At 53.3% G+C, this 20,463-nt stretch overlaps 1 protein-coding gene across 125 annotated transcripts in view, besides 1 other annotated feature; it reads right to left on the bottom strand.

Annotated features, from left to right (window-relative positions):
* CELF4 (CUGBP Elav-like family member 4) overlaps positions 1-20,463 on the bottom strand; it is a 322,955-nt gene that overhangs the window by 94,468 nt on the left and 208,024 nt on the right. The window lies entirely within an intron of this gene.
* Positions 4,192-4,752: an enhancer, noted in NCBI's record as "NANOG-H3K4me1 hESC enhancer chr18:34921466-34922026 (GRCh37/hg19 assembly coordinates)". NCBI's record gives its function as "activates a minimal SCP1, AML or CMV promoter by ChIP-STARR-seq in naive H9 embryonic stem cells {active_cell/tissue: H9 hESC(naive)}" and the evidence as "EXISTENCE:reporter gene assay evidence [ECO:0000049][PMID:30033119]".

Here is a 20,463-nt window from a genome sequence, read left to right on the forward strand (position 1 = left end):
GATTCTCCCCATCTTCAGAGCCACCTGAGGGCCTTTCCTGAGATGGCCTGGCCTCAATACTGCCCACCTTTAGCACAGCTCCTGTGTCCCCAGAGACCCGGCTCTCTAGCTAGGACCCTCCTTCCCAGGGTCTAATTTCTTTCCCGGCTGCTGAGTTCAGCAGGTGCCACCAGGAGGCAGCTGTTCCTGATGGCATTCATTCATTCCCTCCCTCATTTGTTCACCCACCCATCTGACTGCAGCCCTGGCATGTTCCGGAGGGCCTGCGGAGGAAATGCCCCTGCAAGGAGGCCCCCTCAGTGACTGAGGCTTCATCTCCAGATGGCAGCGTCCTCTGCCTCGGAAGTCATGTTCCCATCACCCCGGCCCCTTTATCTTCAGCACAAATGGTTTGTCACATGGTGCGAGATTTGCCACTCAGTGACAGAAGCATGCTCATGCTCAAGTTTACCAGAAGGAAAAGTCACTCTACCTACTTCCACCTCTATGCTCTCCCAGGCCACTGTGCCAGGGACAGGATTCTTGGTTTAGTTCTTCTAGAAAAGTTGTGAAGCAGAAACAAGTTTATCTCCAGTTCTCCCTGAAATGCCTGTCTGTGTTTAACCTGACCCCCGCCCCATGTTTGCAACAAACATCTGGAAAATCACCACTGTCACCACCACCATGTCACTGTCACCATTGTCATCACTACTGTCACTGCCACCACCACCACTGTCGCTGCCACCATCTGTTACCTTAACCTTGTCACTATGACTGTCACTGACACCATTGTCACCACTATCATTGTCACCACTACTGTCACTGCCACCACCACCACTGTCGCTGCCACCATCTGTTACCTTAACCTTGTCACTATGACTGTCACTGACACCATTGTCACCACTATCATTGTCACCACTACTGTCACTGCCACCACCACCACTGTCACTGCCACCATCTGTTACCTTAACCTTGTCACTATGACTGTCACTGACACCATTGTCACCACTATCATTGTCACCACTACTGTCACTGCCACCACCACCACTGTCGCTGCCACCATCTGTTACCTTAACCTTGTCACTATGACTGTCACTGACACCATTGTCACCACTATCATTGTCACCATTATCAGCACCTCTGTCACTGTCACCACTGTCACTACCACCATCATATAACCAGTAAAAAATATTGCTTAGCTCAAAGAGATACTGCTAGTGATGGGATTCTGGGTGCTGGGGTGGCGGGGGGGCTGTTCTGGGTGGAGTGGAGCCTTCTAGGGGCCCCTCACACCCCATGTCATGGCAGGCCCCTACAATCTTTGGGCTCCACTGGGCACCAGGCCACGTGATGTCATGGGAACAGCATGACTAGCTCGGCCATGACTACCGGTGACCTGAACTCAAAATAAAAGATTTTAAGCTCTCTGTGCTCTTGCTTCATTTAATGGACTTGAAAATGCAGGAGCCGTGTGTGTGTGTGTGTGTGTGTGTGTGTGTGTGTGGTGTGTGTGATCTACCTTCACAGGGTGGCTTTGAGAGCAGAACAAGCCACATGGGCAACCATGCCCAGCGCTGTGCCCCAGGGCCAGCTTGACGTCCTTTTTCTTCCCTCCACCTTTCTCTCTGGACAATGCCCTGAACCCCCACTGCCCCAAGGAAGACCAGGCAAGAGGATGGGCAATGGCCATCGTTTGGGTCTCTGCATCCATCCTGGTCCCAGAGCCCAGGGTTCCTAGCCTCCTTTGACAGGCAGAGCTGATGCGGGCTGTGTGGGCACAGGAGGCGCAGCCCAATTTTATAAGCACAAAGTATTATGATTGCATTGATTTCCATCATAAATCATATTTCCTATCTCCTGCCTCTCTCTCCTGCACACCCCAAGTTAAGCCTTGGTATTTTCTTTAGCTGCTGCCACTGCCAAGCCTGGAGATGATATTAGGATAATGATGATAAATTTTACCCTGCTGGCAAGCCACTGCTTCTGTATGGGGGAGGGAGAGTGTTTGTCCCCCAAATGGATCCCTTGACCAGAAAGTGGGGGCTTGGCTTGCGCCTGGAGGAAGGAGGATGCTCACCAGAGCTCGGCTATGTGGGTCCATGCAGATGGATAGGTGGATGCATTTGTGTGAGCATGAGTGTGCTCATACATGTAGTCATGTGTGTGCAAAGCCTGAAAGGTGGCCAGGCACAGTGGCTCATGTCTGCAATCCCAGCACTTTGGGAGGCTGAGGCAGGTGGATGATTTGTGGTCAGTAGTTTGAGACCAGCCTAGCCAACATAGTGAAACCCCATCTCTACTAAAAATACAAAACATAACCAGGTGTGATAGCACACATCTGTAATCCCAGGTACATGGGAGGCTGAGGCAAGTGAATCGCTTGAACCTGGGAGGTGGAGTTTGCAGTGAGCCGAGATCGCACTACTGTACTCCAGCCTGGGTGACAGACTGAGACTCTGTCTCAAAAAAAAAAAAAAAAAGGCCTGGGAGGCATCTTGCTGGGTTTCTCGTGTGTAGACGCATGGTCATGCCCCTGCCAATGAATGAACACATAGCAGAGGGGGGCAGGGGGCAAAGGCAAGGGGAGAGGGTAGGCGCTGAACTTCCCAAGGTGCAGCCACTCCCAGCCTTGGGATTGCCAGTGACTTGGGGTTCTGTGTGTCCGGCTGTTTCCCCCATAGAGTGCACCCCACCTGCCATCAGCGCATTAATCCTTATTAGCACGGCTGCGTTAAGCCCTTTCCTCCTTAACAGCCTCAGCAGCTTCCATTGTCATGTGATTGAAATGGGGTCTCCCCCTTTCCTGACTCCCACCACAATGCCCAGCCTGGGGGGCACTGATAGGAAAATGTCCGCACACATTTTCCTACCAACCCCAGCCTCAGGAAATCTTGCCGAAGTGCAGCCAACAACCAGGCTGGGGCACCCATCCTGACCTCAGAAATGCCACGTTAAGTGAGAGTGAGAAGCTGGTTAGTGGCTCTCCGAGCTCTCAGCCTTGTGCCTTTGCCAGCTGGGCTGGGCTCAGCCCTGACTGAGTTGGGGCTCCTCCAGCAGGTGATAATGTCACTGGGGTACCCAGACCAACATGACAGTGCTCCTCACAAGGTCCTGGGCTGGGTCTTAATACAGTGGGGGAGTCCAAGGGGAGCCTGTAGGTTCTCTGAATTGGGGATGAGCCTGGGACAGGAAGAAGCTTCAGTGGGGACATGGTCTTGTGGCTGATCATTCATTAATTCTCTTGTTCATTCATTCACTCAACAACCATTCCTGGGCTGAGTTCCCTCTCGTCTCCCAGTCCCACAGGCCTGAGGGTGGACCCCAGTGGTCAGTGGGCTTTCTGTCTTCTACACCAGGGGCGGCCAGCCTGAGATCCCTGAGCAGAGGTGTGTTGGGTTTTCTCAGATAGTCACAACTAAAGAAGTCTTATTTTTGAAGAACGTGTCCATGCTGATGTAGTTGACAATGACAGTGAATCACAGACACAGAGAAGATGCAAGGGCTCTAATCCTACCAGGCACAAGCTACTGGCAGCATCTCACAGGCAACCCTGGTTTGAATGCCTCTGCTGACTGGAGGCTCACTCCACGCATGAGTCAGCTGTTTTCATCTATTCGACATTGTTTCAGTGATATCAAGCTAACGTCTGAGCCACTTGTAGCTTCCACTGTTCAGTCCCCAGCCATTCATACAGGAAATGCCTAACTTCTCTTCTTTAGAATAATTGCTTAAAGTAGGGATGGTGAAAAGAACCACCTTGGTGAGCAGGGAAGGGCACCAACCACTCAGACTCCCCAGTGAGGATTCAGTAGGGCACTTAGATAGGAAGTGAGGTTTCAGGGCAGGATTTGGCTACCATGTGCAGGAAATGGATTCATCATGGTTTGAATAACCAGGCTCCATGGGTGTGGCTGTGTGTCCTCCCAGGGGGCCTTGGAGGGGACAGCAGGTTGGGCTCTGGTCTGTGTAATCAGCAGCCCTGGGATCCCAGAGGGGCAGACTGGGAGGAAAGTGCCCACACTGGGCAGCTAGCTCAGCATGCGATGTGCTGCTGACAGTGGGAGTGGTCTGGGCCACAGCCCACATGGGGATGTGGCATTTAGGTCAAAATATGCAGCGTGTTCAGACACAGGAGAAGTATGTTCACCTTACATGAGGAGGGTTAAAGGAGACTGGGGCCACTCAGCCTGAGCAGGTGCAGGGGCATCCCACTGGAAGGCAGTGAGTGGAGGGCATAAGGGCTTTCCACCTGGCTCTGGGGTCAGGACGTTGCAGACAGTTCACGCAGGAACTCCTGGTCCAACATGGGCACAGGCTGCCTGGAAGCTCAGAGTGTCCTCTGCCCCATGACTGTGCTCTATCCAGCAGAACCTATGGGCTGCTGTCCAGCATGCTCCAGAGGGGACCCTGCCTGGGGTGGAGTTGGGCCAGTGACCACTTAGGTTCCTTTTGACTCTAGGAGTGTATGATGACAAAAGGAAGTGCTCCTAGGAGCTAGGATGGTGAAGGTTTCAATCCAACAATGCTTGCCTCACAGCAGGCACTTATCGTTCTAATGGATCCCTGATGCCATTAGGCTGAAGATCTTCCTCCTCCAGGAAGTCTCTCCTGATTAATCCCACAACTCTCTGACTCATCTGGGTCTCCTTGCTAAGACTCGCTTACTCTCCTTGTTTGTGATCTATCTGTAAATGGATGTCTGCAGGTTGCATGTCTGTGGTGCTTGGTGTTGTGTGTGTGCGTGTGTGTGTGTCCCAATCTCCTCTCAGGTGGAGGACAGGAGAACAGTGGAGCTCATCCTTGGTGCCACACACAACCTTTTCTTCTCCACCAGCCCCTTAACTTGGTCTCTTAGAGCCATCCCTGGCAATTGTGTCCTGGTAGGGCTGTGGCCATTTTGTATCCACATAGGAATTCAGATTGGGGAAAGATAACAGCACATGCACACACACACACACACACACACACACACACACGCTGGGCACATGGCAGCCTCTCCACCTCCTCCCCAGTTTTCTGTTCCTGCCAGCAGTCCCTAGGGCCCCATAAAGATAGCAACCTTCTCTGAGCAGGTTAGGCCTGGAGAGTGCAAGGGTGGAACAGTCTGAGAGCCGGGCTCAGAAAAAGTGACCCCATGTTCTGTTTCCTGATGCTGCAGCCTGGTGGGGAAGGGGGCCTGCCTCGGAGGGTGAGAGGCCTCTGAGAGGCAGTGGAGGGCAGGAGTGAGGAGTGGGCACCACCCTCCCCTGTGCTCTGCAGCTGTGCCCCTTCCTCATCCCAGACTGGAAACAGCTCCACTGGGCCTCAGGTCTCCCCAGGGAGTGCAGGCCAGGGTCCAAGCAGAGTGGGGGAGCCTGGGTTCCTGCAGGCATCTCTTAGCTGTGTGACCCTAGGCCAGTTAACCTCCCTGAACCTCCATGCCTCCATGTGGGAAAGAATGGGGGAAATAATAATCCATATTGAGCTAATGTAGATAAAGATGTGTTGTGAGCTACATGGGACAAAAACTAATGCAAAAAAAGTTGAATCTCACCACTCCCATTAGTGCAAGGAAGCCCCCTGGGTTGCAGCGTGAAGGATTCTGTGGGTGGTGTCCCCCCCAACCCCTATGTCATGTCCCTGGCGGTCCCCATGGCATGTGGGTGTCTGTGGGAACATGACCCCCACTGGGAGTTGCCCACTGAGCCATTCCCGTCCTTACACTGAAGGAGGAGATCCTGGAAATGAAACGTGTGGGCGGCAGGTAGATGTGGGAGCTGGAAGGGTGTGCACCGTGTGACCACAGGTGAGAATCGCTGGTGTGCTAAGAACAGACCAAGGCCTCTGGAAACACAGGGAAGCTTGCTGTGCTTATGCCTGTGCTGGGCTAGCAGCAGTGTCTTCTACCCTTACTTTCTGAATTTTAGTTGGTGAGAAGAGGTAGAAAAGAAGTGTGCATGGGAATGACTGCGTCTGTGTCCCTGTGTTTGCAGCAGTTTTGTTGTGAGGCCCTGTGTGCATTTGGGTGTGGGCCATTGTGTTGAGAATGGGTGTTGATTCTGTGTGTGTGTGTGTGTGTGTGTGTGTGTGTGTGTGTGTGTGTGTGTAGACACGGGGTGGGGAGGGGGATGCCACTTCTGGGTGTGACATCCCAAAGGCTCCAAAATCCTGAAATCTTAGAGGGCGCAGAGCTGCATACAGCCACCAGATGGCAGCCGGGTGCAGTCTAAGGGTTGCCGGCCAGGCTCGGCTTTGTGTTCAGCCTCCCCACCTCCCATCCCACCCCTGGTATATGTGGTGCATATGTGTGTATATGTGGGGTTGCGTGTGTATATGTGGGGGTGCGTGTGTATATGTAGGAGTGCAGGAAGGGACTGCCTGACTGCAAGCTGGGCACCTGTGCGTGTATTCAGAGTGGCCAGTCTGGGCATGCTGCATCCTCCTCCTTGCCATGACAGCTGGATGCTGCTCGTGTTCCGTGCCCTGCGAACCTTGGCTCTCTAAGAATACGTGTGCAGACAAGTGTGCACATGTGCTGCAGCAGACCCCATCCAGACTCCCCACTCCCAAACCCTCACCTTTCACTCCTATCAGGCTGTCCACTTCCAACTCTCTGGTACCCCTCACCACGGCTGGTTCTTCCCTCCCTCCTTCACCCTGGCTGTTCCCTTTGCCAGGAATGGTCTCTCTGCAACCAAACTCCTCCCCATTTTTCAGAGACTTCTGTCTAAGAAGCCCCTTCTCCAGGAAGCCCATTAGATCTCTTAGCATCAACCTTTTACCCCCATTTTGCTCCTTTTCTGATCACCCATTGCCTAGGACTGTCAGCTCCACACTGTTCATCCACTGCTGGCTTGATGTGGCTCATTCAGGAGCCTTCCTCGAGAGGTTGAGTTCTGCAGGGTAGGATGGGGCTGGGCATCCACAGTAACACCAGGTAAAAACCAGATCATTGAGGAGCACATTTCCCCACTGACCTGCCCCATGGGGTCCAGAGAGCAAGTGCTGAGGACAGACGTGGCTTACACATGGCAAGCAACCCGTGAAACACAGAACAACCCGTGAAACAGAGAACAAGTGACTCCCTGGAAATTTGGCAGGCATTGCCACAGCACTGGGGTGCCACGGGGCAGAGACAGGGGGTCAGGGGAGAAAGAAGTAACAGTGAGTACAGTGGCTCCCTGGGTTTTAAAATCCAAAGTTAAGCCATTTGCTTTCTAGGAAGTATTGAAAGGTAGCATTATACCTTGGCTATAGCAAGAGAAACTACAGGTAGACTCTGGAAGAACTGGTCTTTGCCGAGGTGAGGAAAGGCTCTGGTGTGAGCCATGAAAGCTTGTTCCCTTGGAGTTAAAAGGAGCCAGAGTCACCATGCATATGTGCACAGCTTTCTGTATTTTTCATCATGTCTTGCTATCCATGCACTAACCCCATGTTACATGTTGGCAGAGGGTTTTCAGAGGCATGCAGACGCTCGTGAACCTGAAGACAGAAGCTGTCACCATTCCTGTTTGACAGATGACGGGAACGGCTGCAAGGGGAGGGGACACGCCCTGGCAGCCCAGCTTGCTGGTGGCCTTGCAGCATCCTGGATTTCATCCCCCTAGAGATGCACATGAAAATCCTTGCCCTTTTTGCAGACTCTAAGAGGGGAGTGTGCCCTCCCTGATCCCATCAATGCCTGTAGCCCCCAGTTCTGCTCCACCTGCCAGAACCCACTTCCTGTTTGTCCAGAGATGACCCAAGTCCATGTTTGCAGGATGTAGAATGTGCTGGGGTGGAGAATTGGAGAATGGCTGTGGAGGCGGACAGAAAAGTTTGGGTGCCTCGGGAGGCTCTGTCTCTGGAGGGGCTGGAGTCCCCAGGACTGGTGTACAGAGCTCCTATAAGGATGGGTTTAATTAAAGGATCGTTAGGTTAGGCCAGGTGTCATCTCAGCAGGGGCTACCCACACCAGCCCATTCCCCAAAGAAGAACTGCAAGAAAGCAAGAAGGTTCCCTTCACTCATTTTAATTGTTCCGCAAAAGACCCTAAATGCAAGACAGCATCATAAGGTGGAGGAGTGGGAGAGAGACGAAGTGGAGAGAGGGGCAGGGAGAGGGCAGAACAGAGGGTAAGACCAGCAGCCAAGAGCTGGGCCCTGGGCACAGCCAGCCTCTCTGTGAGCTTTGGGTGTCGGGGGTGGGGTGGGGGACACAGGCTCCCCTAAGGGATGGCTGCATGGCCTTAGAGACCTCGGTTGCAGCAACCAGCACATGGTAGATGCTCAGTAGACATTAAAATGAACTGAGTGCTTTGGGGTGGGGTGGGGCAGACTTTCCTATGGGTGGAGTGGCAGCCTGGGGAATTCAGTGGAGGACTCCTTTGGAGTGGCTGAAGGCCTGGGAGGCTCTGGGGGAGGAAGCTGCTGGTTGGGAACCCCACCTCAAGAACCTTTTGAGCAGGTGTCCTGCTGCTCTAGGCTGAAGGGAGAATGGAAACAGGCCCCAGGGAGGCTGGGGACCCCTGATATAGAAAGGCACAGCCTACCCTGAGGCTGAGGTCTCTCCAGTCTCCTGGGTCTCTCCTGCATACCTTAGCACTCCCAAAACCACCCACCTACCCACCCTCTTCAGTGCTGAGGTGGCTGAATGGGCTCTGAGGCTCCCAGTGCATGCCTGGCCCCCGGAGCCCCCAGGAGTTCTGTCCCATTTCCTGGAGTGGCAGCTGGGCAGGTTACATATACTTAATTACTAGTAATTAAAAAACTGATTACTCCAAATGGCGCCCTCCTGGGGAGAACCGTGCTGTGCCTGTCCTGCTGGTCCGCCACAGAGGCCATTTCTGTAGTGTGGAGCAGGGACCAGCCTGCAGCCTCCTTCTATGTCTGCTGGAGGATGAGGGCTCCCTATGTCAAGAACAGTGCCTGCCCCCACCTCCTCCAACTGGCCTGCCCCAATGTCTAGTGCAGCTGCATTCCGGCATCACTTTAGTGGATGAGTCACTGGTCCCCTCCAATGTGCATATCCCTTGGGAGGGGACATACCCAGAATGCTATAGGTCACAGGGAAGGAGCCTCTGTAGGGAGCCCAGGGGGAAAAAAGAGCTCTAGGCTCCAGGGGAGAAGTGGGGAATGAATGCAGAGTGTGACAGAGGCAGGGCAGGTTTGCCAGTTGCAGAGCTGGTATCCTAGAATTGACTTGTTTTAGTCATTCTGCGACTGGGGTTCAGCAAGCACCTAGTACATACCAGATATGGATGGACCACCTAGTCGGGTTCTTTGTGTGGATGAAGACACGCCAGGAGGTGGGGGGCAGGTACATGAGCCATGTTCAGTTAGGAAAGTGCTGCTGGAACCAGGGCAGAGAAGAAAGGGGTGCCCAGTTAAATGGGCAGTTGGAGGAAGCATCGCAGAGGAGTGGTTATTGAGGGCGAGGCTCGGGATTGGAGTCAGTTTGGGGAGGAGTAGGTGGAAGGGGTTTGGGCAATGGCAGCTGCTTGTGCAGAAGCCCTGGGGGATTGGCAGAGCCTGGCAGGAGGGAGGAAGCCTGGGGCAGCCATGGGGGCAGCATGTCTCATGCTACCGCTGGGATGAGGAAGTCAGCGGCCCCATGATCCCATCCCAGGGTGTCTGTCTTCCAGCAGCATTGGGGAGTGGTGGACGGGGTATCTTTGGTGGATCTGGAGAAGGGACTGGCTGACCTGAGCCTCTGAGAACAGGGAGGAGGGGAAGAAGGGGAGTGGGAGAGTGAGGGCTCATATGCCAAGGCTGAAGGGGGAGGGACAGTGGGTGGGTCTGGGAGGTGCCTTGGAGAGGGAGCCTCCTGGACCTGCTGATGGAGGGTGTTGGAGGAGAAAGGCCCAAGCTCACAAGAGCGAAGTCTGAACAGACAATGGCCAATACCTCAGATGACCCTGAGGGTGGGAAGTCTGTCTGTAAACTTGACCAGGAAGAGAATGGGGAGCCCCAGAGCGTGGAGGAGGGGTGCACAGGGAGTCTCCAAGGTCTCCCTGCCACCCCCCACGCCACGCCCAAGTTGGTTGGTGACAGTGGCCACGAAGGGAAGATTCATCCGAGGCCCTTGTGTGGGAGATGCTGACATGAAGCCGTGTCCCTCAATCAGGGGAACCCTGGGCCAATTATTCATTTATTACTAAGGGGTTTGCAGGCCCATCCCCCACCCCTACACTTGGCTCTCTGTGCCTGAGTCTGCTTTTATTCTGGAAAGTGTCCCAGAGAGGCCCTGCCTCACAGCCACTCAGGTCCCTTCCTACCTCTCTAGTTCGGGGCAGGTCGTCACCTGCATGAAGGACCCAGGGCGGCCGCACACCCTCTGCTGGAGGTTCCTTCACAGCTCTGCCCCTCACTTCCCTTTCTCCTGAGCACATGTCTGCGGGCATCAAGCCAGCCCCAAACCTGCCCCTGGGCACCCTGGCAGGAGGAGCCAAGTAGAGGGGTGCCAAATCCAGGGTACCCAAGGACTTGGGTACACAGGGGGCAAGTCCCACACCACACAGGGGGTTGCAGCAGGTGAGAGGCCAGAAGCCCCCTGCAGGGAGGAAGAGGACGGGCTTGGTTTGGCCCTGCTGACCTGGCTGCTGTGGCCTGTGTCCTTGGATTAAGGCTCAATCCAAGATGGGCCTCCCAGAGGGCTCCCCTTTATTTTCTTCTTCGAGAGAGATACCTCCCACGTTCCCAGCTCAGAAGGGGCCAACCAGGTGGCTCAATTCCCACCCTGAGAAACACAAGCAGGTGGTTATGGGTGGGCCTGGTGCCTGAGGTCAGCAACTGACCCTCCTCCAGGCCGGGCCTCTGGTCTCCTGCCCGCCTGGCCCTGTGCCCTGCATCCCCAGTTCCGTCTCTGCCTTTGTCTACCTCTGCATTTTGCTCTTCTCTCTTGCGCCTCCTTCTCTAAACAGCCTTTTGGAAAGAGCACAGAGATCAGTTACTATTTGACCCCTCTTAGCCACAATTTCCCCACCTGCTAAGCAGGGTCAAATGCCCTTCACGTGGTGAGGTGAGGCTCAGGAGCTACACGCACACACTAGGCCCCTGAAAAGCCTCCTGGGCCAGAGCACTCCCAGCTTACCCAGAAAGAAGGGCTTCTTTGGTCCCTTCCTTTTTTGCCCACTGAAGCCTTCCTCCCTCCGGCCAGGGATGTGAATGCACCCCCGGTCCTGTCCATCCCACATCACATCAGGCGCTTCCGGGCACGGACCATCTGCTCCACAACCCTGCTTCTCTATGACACAGCCTCTGGGGCCAGGGGCTCAAGTGGGATCTTCCATTTTCTATCTGCCTGGATTTGGAGAGCAAGGGACAGGACCATGGCCTTGAAAGTCTTGGAGCAGTGAGGTGGGGTGGGACGGTGGGGGGATGGGAGCAAAATTCCCTCCTCCTGGTCTTGGCTTTTGCGGTTTCTATCCTCCAAAACAACAACAACAACAACAACAAAACCCATCGGGGGTCATTCCTGGTCTCCTCACTCCTCCATTACTTTCTCACACCTCCTTTCCTCCTTTTCTTCCAGGAGCTTTTATTATCACACACTCCCCAAGGCAAGGCCCAGCCCATCCTCTGCTTCTAGGAGAGGGGAGAGGAAGAAGCAGTCACTCAAGGCCACCCTGGGGCTGCTTAGAGACTCCCCCAGGGGAGCTGCACTGGGGGGTCTCTCTCCCCTCTCTCATGCCTCCAGGGGGTTTGGGAGAGGCTGCAGGCTGATCAAACTGGCCCCTGACCTTGCCTGCTTTGCTGATGAATGCAACTCTCCAAAGGTGGAATGAGCTGGAGATCGCAGGGTGCAACGGCAGCACATCCATGGGGCCTGGAGAGAGCCCTGGGAAAAGTCAGGGATGAAGCAGGGGGAGGTGCTGGACACAGTTTGAAGGTAACTCACACTTCATGGAAACAGTGTTCGGAAACTCAGAGATAGCGCAGGCGGTTTCGGCAGTTCCCAGTTTTCTGAGGTGGGCCCTGCCCTCCCAACCTGAACTCGCATCAAGGATAGCCACCAGGATGTCCCTCCTATCTGTGGGTATCTGTTTAGGCTCTCAAAGAAGAGGGACACGTTGGGGGGAGAAACTGGAAACTTCCTTGTCCAAGTCAGAGGCCCTGGAGGGGCCTATCAGCCTGGAGATGCGATGCCTTCCCTACCGTGGCTGGATTCTTTCTGTAGCGGGTTTAGGGAGGAAGGAGGGAACCAGGAGATGACACAATAGGCTTAAATTAAAGCAGGACAGATTATGGCAGGCCTAAAGAATCATTTCTTTTTTTATTCAGAAGGCAATGGAAAAGACACACTCATTTACTCCAAAGCACTTATTGTGCATGAAGGACAGGCAGCCCCTGTGCCAAGCGCTAGGGTGTATCTGAATAAGACACAGGTTCTACCTGTAAACCAATAATGCAGGTGAGCTAAGACCCAGACAGCAGCGTGGGCCAGCCCATCGGAACCACAGAGCTGTGAGTGACCAAGGATGTGCTCTAGGGTGGCTGGTGCAGTTGATTCCTGAAGGACAAACAGGAGTTTTCCAGCAGCACGAGGCTGAGAAGGGCATTCGGGCAGCAGGACAGCAGGTGCAAAGGCTCAGAGACAGAGGACCTGTGGTAAGTGGAGTGAAAGGTGAGGGGCTGCACTGAAAAGGGGAGCCGGCCAGAGTTCACAGGGCAAGGGATGGGTGAGGGGAGAGGCAAGCGGTGGCCCCTCGATCACATGCGACGTGACTGGGTTTGCTTTTTAGTAAACACTGGCAGCCTCCAGGAGGAGGAGAGATAAGCAGGCAGGGAGGACCCGAAGCAGGCTGTGGCAGTGCAATTTGGGAGAGGGACATGCCTGGGACAGATAGAGGAGCAAGAATCCATAGAATTTTATGTCCAGTGAGGTGGATGAGGGGCCTTCAGCAACCAGGGACAGGCACACGATGGGAACAGAGCCCCATTCTCCTCTGACAAATGCAGACACTTTAGCAAACTGCCTGCAGCACACAGCTTAACATATGACGACCAAGACTTTCTACGTGAACATGACTTGACTATCCAGAACATTCTCATCCAGGAAGCAAAAGATGCAAATAACTTTGTTCCAAGAACTTCCTGAAAATCCAAATTTCTGAGTAATAGACCACGCGCGCTCCTCTTCTCAGGACAACAGCTCACTCACCCGGACAAATCTGCTGGCCTGTGAATGGCTGTTTACTCATCCTCACCTGCTCAACCCTGGCCTTGCTCTGTCTACCAGTTTCTAAAGGATTATGTCACAGAGCCTGTCCGATCCCAATCAATACTGCACATTGCAGGACCCACCTTCAAACAGACCCCTAACCTCCCCTTTCTGAAATTTCCCGAGGCCACCAAGGTGGGGTTGCTCTGTTTTACTGAGCTAGGCAATCTGAACTTGGCTTTACTGATCAGTGGATTATTCTGCTGGTCTCTTTGGGAAATGAGTCTAAAATCAGATGACCTCGCAAGGGTCCCTTTATCTCTCCGAGTCTAGCAGGCTCCAAATGTCTGATGGTGGGACTACAGGCTTATCTCACTTAAGACCCCAGGATTCTGGGATCCCCAGTTCCAGGGCTCATGGTGCATCTGGCCTGAAGTCCTGAGGGTCACCAAGAGGAGAGGGCATGGTCAGGATTCCACAACAGCTGGGGAGCAGGCCTGGAGCTCTGGCCTGGGCCAGTCTTGGGTCTCTGGGGAGCCCCCACTCAGAGAGCTTCTCATACTGCCTTCAAGGTTACCCAAGTCTCCCTGTCGGTCACATCCCTACCCACCTCCCCCCTTCTTTCAGGGTTTTATTTTTGGCCAGGTAATTAGTATAGCTCTTCTCATTAATATTACATTTAAAAACGCAAAGGTGCTGGTGGGGGAGAGGGGGGCTGGAAGGGAGGGGCTTGCACATGCCAGTAATTGTCTTGACAGCCGGAGATCCTGGTGCAATGACAGTCTAGTTTAAGTGGCCCAATTAGCAAAAGAAACGACTCGCCAAAAGTTCTGAAGGCATCGTGTTGATTAATGCAATTTATCTTGCATACCAGCAGCAGACAGCTGAATCGCTGCTAATGATTATTATATACATTCATACACATTATGTACATGTGGCCTCCTCTCCAAGAAACGATGCCTCTCCCCTCTCCTCCTGCGTGCCTGTTCAGGCCCACGGGCCCAACGTATACCAGAATGACTCTACCTGCCCTGAACCTACTGCCCAGGTTTCCCACTGGTCATCTGTGTCCTCAACTCTAATTGCCAGGTTGCCTTTGATATGAAAGGGCTGGTTTTACTTTGATATTATATTCAATTTTGAGCCAGTGTCCAGAAACACAGTTTTCAGCTTTCTTTTTTCTTTTCTTTTTCTTCTTCTTCTTTTTTTTTTTTTTTTTGAGACAGGGTCTCACTCTATCGCCCAGGCTGGAGTGCAGTGGTGCGATCTTGGCTCACTGCAGCCTCCACCTCCCAGGTTCAAGCAATTCTCCTGCCTCAGCCTCTTGAGTAGCTGGGACCACAGGTGCACGCCACCACGCCCTGCTAATGTTTTTTGTATTTTTAGTAGAGACAGGATTTTGCCATCTTAGCGAGGCTGGTCTCATACTCCTGGGGCCTCAAGTGATCTGCCCACCACAGTCTCCCAAAGTGCTGGGATTACAGGCGTGAGCCACCACCGAACCTGGCCCAGAAACACAGCTTTCAAGAATATTTTTCACTACTCAGGGGAAGCAGCTCTAGGCAGCCAAGGGAGTGGCCAGCAGATGAAGTTAGCATAGTGAAGTCTGTCTGAGTACATGGGTCTCTAAATGTTTGGTCCACAATCACAGTTTAAACGAGGGATGCATGCAATGTGGTGCTGCCAACATCCTCCTCCCTTCCATCTTAAACATCTTGTTATTCTGAAAACTGGGAATTTTTATCCTGGGTGTGCAAGGGCAGAAGCCCAGACCACACCTTTGCAGGTGTCCCTCCTTCTGGGCAAGGCCAGGAGGAGAACATCAGTGCAAGCCACCAAGCAAGGGGACTATGATGGCTGTCAGTTCATGCTGGCACAGCCGTGAGAGCTTACACACACTACATTTGTCCTCAATGTTACCTCCTCCCCAGCCTGCAGAAGGGAAATGTATTGCTGCATGTTGTGGCTGATGCCTGTAATCTCGACACTTTGGGAGGGTGAGGCGGGAGGATCACTTGAGCCCGGGAATTCAAGACCAGCCTGGGCAATATAGTGAGACCCAGTCTCTATAAAAAATAATTAGCCAGGCTGGAGGATCCCTTGAGGCCAGGAGTTCGAGACTGCAGTGAGCTATGATTGCACCATGGCACTCCAACCTGAACCACAGAATGAGACCCTGCCTCTAAAAAAAAAAATTAAAAATAAAAAAAAGAATTTTAAGTATCTGCTTTGGATTCCAGGCAGCCTGGCCCTAGAGCTGGTGTTCCCTTCATCACTATTCTCAGCCACCAGATTAGGTCAGAATCTGGAGGTCAGCATTGGAAGCGGGGGATGAAAGCTGCCACTTGGAGGTGGATGGGGAATTTAGGCAGGAAAGTCTCCCAGGTAGAGATGCCAGGACTCAGCTGAGAGGAGGCAGCTGTGAATCTGGGGAGACAGACACCAAGGTGCAGAGTGGGACGGGGTGGAACAGCGCCTTGCCATTGGTGCCCGAATGCACCAGAGGCTGGGAGAACAAGAACCCTTTCTTGGCCGGGCGCGGTAGCTCACGCCTGTAATCCCAGCACTTTGGGAGGCCAAGGTGGGCAGATCAGGAAGTCAGGAGATCGAGACCATCCTGGCTAACACGGTGAAACCCTGTCTCTACTAAAAATACAAAAAATTAGCCGGGTGTGATGGCACGTGCCTGCAGTCCCAGCTACTTGGGAGGCTGAGGCAGGAGAATTGCTTGAACCCGGGAGGCGGAAGTTGCAGTGAGCCGAGATTGCGCCACTGCACTCCAGCCTGGGCAACAGAGTGAGACTCCGTCTCAAAAAAAAAAAAAATATATATATATATATACATAAAAGACCCTTTCTTGGGGGGCTTAGGGACCAGGGGTAAGCTCAACTGGGCATATGGTTTTATAGTTAAACTTTCCAGTGAGGCCAGATTCAGCAATCCCAGGGGTCAGCAATGGAGTGACGGGGCTGGCCCCTGTGGAAGGGTCTGAGGTGATGGCTTGGGTGCTGAGGAGAGCAGTGGATGTGGGGGAAGGGGAGGTTGGTGTGGAGCTGGGAGAACCAATTGGAACATCCTGCAAAGGGCTTGGAGGCAGCTGGCAGCAATAGGGCATGGGGGAAGAACTGTGGGGACTTGGGTCAGCAAGCAGGAGAGACCAGGAGCCGTTCAAGGGGACTTGAAGATTCCATGACAGTGATGCTTTTGACAGTAATAAGGATGTTAGGTGGGGCTGGGGGAAAGGTGGGGGACTGGGGATGAGGGGGAATGATGAGTTTACCTTTAACCCTGCCCAGACTTCAGGTAGAAATGCCAAAGAGACCAGTGGGCTGGTGGGGGCGGGGGGGGCAGTTCTTTCTTTTTTTTTTTTTTTTTGAGATGGAGTCACCCAGGCTAGAGTGCAGTGGCGTGATCTCGGCTCACTGCCAGCTCCACCTCCTGGGTTCCCGCCATCCTCCTGCCTCAGCCTCCCAAGTAGCTGGGACTACAGGCACTCACCACACGCCCAGCTAATTTTTTGTATTTTTAGTAGAGACGGTGTTTCACCGTGTTAGCCAGGATGGTCTCTATCTCCTGACTTCGTGATCTGCCCGCCTCGGCCTCCCAAAGTGCTGGGATTACAGGTGTGAGCCACTGCGCCTGGCCTGTGGGGGGACCAGTTCTTAGGACAAAGGTCAGAGCCGGAGATGTGAGTTTTTACTTTTTTCCCTTAGGACTTGGGCCCTTAGGGGAGGAAGTGAACTATGCTGAGCACCTGCTGTGTTCTAGGGAGTGTGCCAGGAGCTCACTTCCCTTCCCAACAGCTGCATGAGGAAGCACCGTTATCCCCATTTTACAGATGGCCAAACTAAGTCTAGGTGAGTGACCTTCCAGGGCCATGCAGAGTAAGGGAAAACAAGCTCAGCCTTGCTCCAGTGCTGTCAGACCTCCAAGTTCATTGCTGGGGGAAATGAAGCCCATGCTTCTGATTGTGGGGACTGGTGGGGGGCGCAGAGGGCCTGGGCTTTTCTGTCCCAATCTGGGGTGCCTGGGAGAACTGAGAGCCACCTCTGTGAGTACAAGGCCAAGGAATTTCTTCCACAGACCCATGCTCGGCTGCATACAAATGTGAACTTGAAAACATTCTGGTTCCCGTAGGTAGGTAAAAATGTATTCTCTCAGCAAACGCTTTTGAATTTGGGACCAGGCTCTAAAATTGGAGCCCTTTGGGGTTGGGGTGGTGCCACGTTGGCTTCTGCTCCCCTGACTCCTTACACTGTGGCTTGCAGGAGAGGTGGGTGCACTCTGGGGTGAGCAGAGGCCCAGGATGGGGGACTTCAGGAGGAAAAGGGCCCTCTAGGCCTTCCCACCATGCCTTCTCTCCAGCCTTCCTGCCCCGCAAGGAGCCATTGATGAACCTGTTTGCAAAAGTTCTAAATGCTCACCCTGCTGTTCAGATCATTTTGGTAATTCTGGTTTGTGGTGGGAGCCAGGGAAGTAGCACTTAGGCCTCAGTGAGGCCTCTGCCTATGGAGAGAGATATTTCCATAAGGAAGAAGCCTTTGGTTTTCAGCAGCTCTTTCTCCAGACATTGAGAGCAGGGCTCTGAGGGTATGAAGTTGATCACGTGTGTGCCTACTGTGCATATGTGCATGTGTGTATATGTGTACACGCATGTGCATTTGTGTTCCTGTGCCTGCAAATGCTTGATTTTGTGTCTAGACACGATGGAATCTGTATGTGACTCTGGGAGAGAGACAGTGTGAGCCTGCTTGGGGATGTAAGGTGTGCACATACAGGACATAGAGTTGTGTCTGTGAATGTGCTCCTTGTTACTGATGTCTGTACATCTGTGAGTGTGTGCACATGTGAATATGTTTGAGAAGATGAGATTGCCTGATTATGTCCAGGAATGCATGTGGTATTGAGTGTATATCTCTGTGTGTGCAGGTACATGTGGTGTAACATGGAAAGCTATAAACTTTAAACTGAAAACAGACCTGGCCTGGTGCAGTGGCTAACGTCTGTAATCCCAGAACTTTGGGAGGCTGAGGCAGGTGGATCACTTGAGGTCAGGAGTTTGAGACCAGCCTGGCCAACATGGAGAAGCCCTGTCTCTACTAAAAACACAAAAATTAGCTGGGCGCAGGGGTGCATACCTGTAATCCCAGCTACACGGGAGGCTGAGGCAGGAGAATCGCTTGAACCCGGGAAGCAGAGGTTGCAGTGAGCCGAGATCACACCACTGTACTCCAGCCTGGGCGACAGAGTGAGACTCCATCCCCACCCACCCCACCTCTCCAAAAAACAAAAGAAAGAAAACACAGACCTGAAGAGAGAGAGTGCCATGATGAAGAGTGGGTGACCAGGCCAGGCAGTCTCCCTGGAGGAGGTGGTTTCTGAGACCTTTACTCAGCCATACCTCCAAAACTGGCTTCCCTGGGCTCTGTGCCACTGCCCTTTGGAGTCAAACCAGCCAGGAGCCAAGACTCAGCAGGCCTCTGCTAGGGAGCTGCAGTGGGGATACCTACATGAGATGGGGCCTCGGAATGCCCTGGAGGCATCTGTTCTGAGCCATCACTGCAGTCTGTCTTCGTCAGCCACAGGCACTCAGCCCAGCACAGCCCAGCCCAGCCCAGCCCTGGCCTGGCCCCAGGGTCTCTCTGGAAATGGTAGTATGGGTGCACTGAGGCCGTTTATTTTCTGATTCAGGTGACAGTCCAGTGGCCAAGGAGAATACCCACACCTTTCCATTTTCTATTAGGAACCACTGACCAATGGACAGAACCACCATGGGGCCATCAAAGCCACTTAGTTGAGTTTTTGCTTTTTAATAAGAAAAAATAGTATGTGGCACTCATCCGCTTTTAAAATGAAAAACAGTGAACATAAAACTTGATTTAATAAAGACACCAAATAAAATATTCTTCTATTCTGTGTTACAGTAATTGAAGGGAGAGTGACAAAAGGGTGGGGGGCAGAAAAGAAAGAGAGAACGGTTGGGTGTGGAATGGCAGCCCAGAAAGAGACAAGGACATGAAAGAGGTGCTGGAAAGGCCAGAGGTGCTGGGAAGGTCAAAGGTGCTGGGAAGGTCAGAGGTGCTGGGAAGGCCATTGGTGCTGGGAAGGCCAGAGGTGCTGGGGAGGTTAGAGGTGCTGGGGAGGTCAGAGGTGCAGAGAGTAAAGAGGGAGAAGTGGATTCAGGTCCCTGGGCACTAGGAGGACCCCAGTGTTTGCAGGGACCAACATCAACGAAGGGGCCCTCCTGGGCTGGCAGTGGCTATGCTTGACATCTGCTTTTGGCCACATCCTCTCAATAATCCCAAAAGCTATTAAAGGAAAGGCACATGGCATGCAGCGAGCTTCAGTAACTTGCCTGAGTCCTCAGCTAGGCTGCCTTCTGACCTTGGTCTCTCTGACCCTGACCCAGATCTCTCTACCGGCAGCCTGGGTTTATGCCAGGCACTCGGCACCTTGCTTAGCCTCAGGTGTCCATGCCCCACACTTCTCTGCAGCCTCCCCTGGGACTTTTTCCTACACTCTTCCTCTCCCAGAGGCCTGTACTCTGCCCCTTTTGCAGGATCCCAGGCCCAAGCTGCCTCCAGCCCCTCTCCTACCCATTCATCCACCTGCCCCAGGTTCCACCACTCGCTTCACTGGGTCACACCCATGCCTTTTAGCCTGAAATGCCCATGGGGACTACATAGGTTTGTACAAAGCCCAGTGGGAGACTTGGAAGAGGGTCTAGCAGCATCAGAGAAAGTTCCCAGAGGAGCTGAGGTTTGAGCTTGGAGCCCGCAGGCCTGTGAAGGTCTGAGAACATTCCAGGTAGAGGGAACAGCAAGCGAAAAGGCAAGGAGGATGATATGGTTTGGCTGTGTCCCCACCCTGCATCCTAGCTGCTCCAGCTGGGGCTGAAAGGGGCCAGCGTAGAGCTCGGGCTGTGGCTTCAGAGGGTGCAAACCTCAAGCCTTGGAGCTTCCACGTGGTGCTGAGCCTGTGAGTACACAGAAGTCAAGAATTGAGGTTTGGAAACCTCTGCCTAGATTTCAGAAGATGTATGGAAACGCGTGGATGCCCAGGCGGAAGTTTGCTGTAGGGATGGGGTCCTCATGGAGAACCTCTGCTAGGGCAGTGCAGAAGGGAAATGTGGAGTCGGAGCCTCCACAGAGAATCCCTACTGGGGCACTGCCTAGTGAAGCTGTGAGAAGAAGGCCACTATCTTCCAGACCCCAGAAAGGTAGATCCACCAACAGCTTGCATAGTGTGCCTGGAAAAGCCACAGACACTCAACACCAGCCTGTGAAAGCAGCTGGAAGGGAGGCTGTACCCTGCAAAGCCACAGGGGTGGAGCTGCCCAAGACCATGGAAACCTACCTCTTGCAT

The sequence above is a fragment of the Homo sapiens genome, chromosome 18, assembly GCF_000001405.40.
Source record: "Homo sapiens chromosome 18, GRCh38.p14 Primary Assembly".
In the NCBI taxonomy this organism is placed as follows: Eukaryota; Metazoa; Chordata; class Mammalia; order Primates; family Hominidae; genus Homo; species Homo sapiens.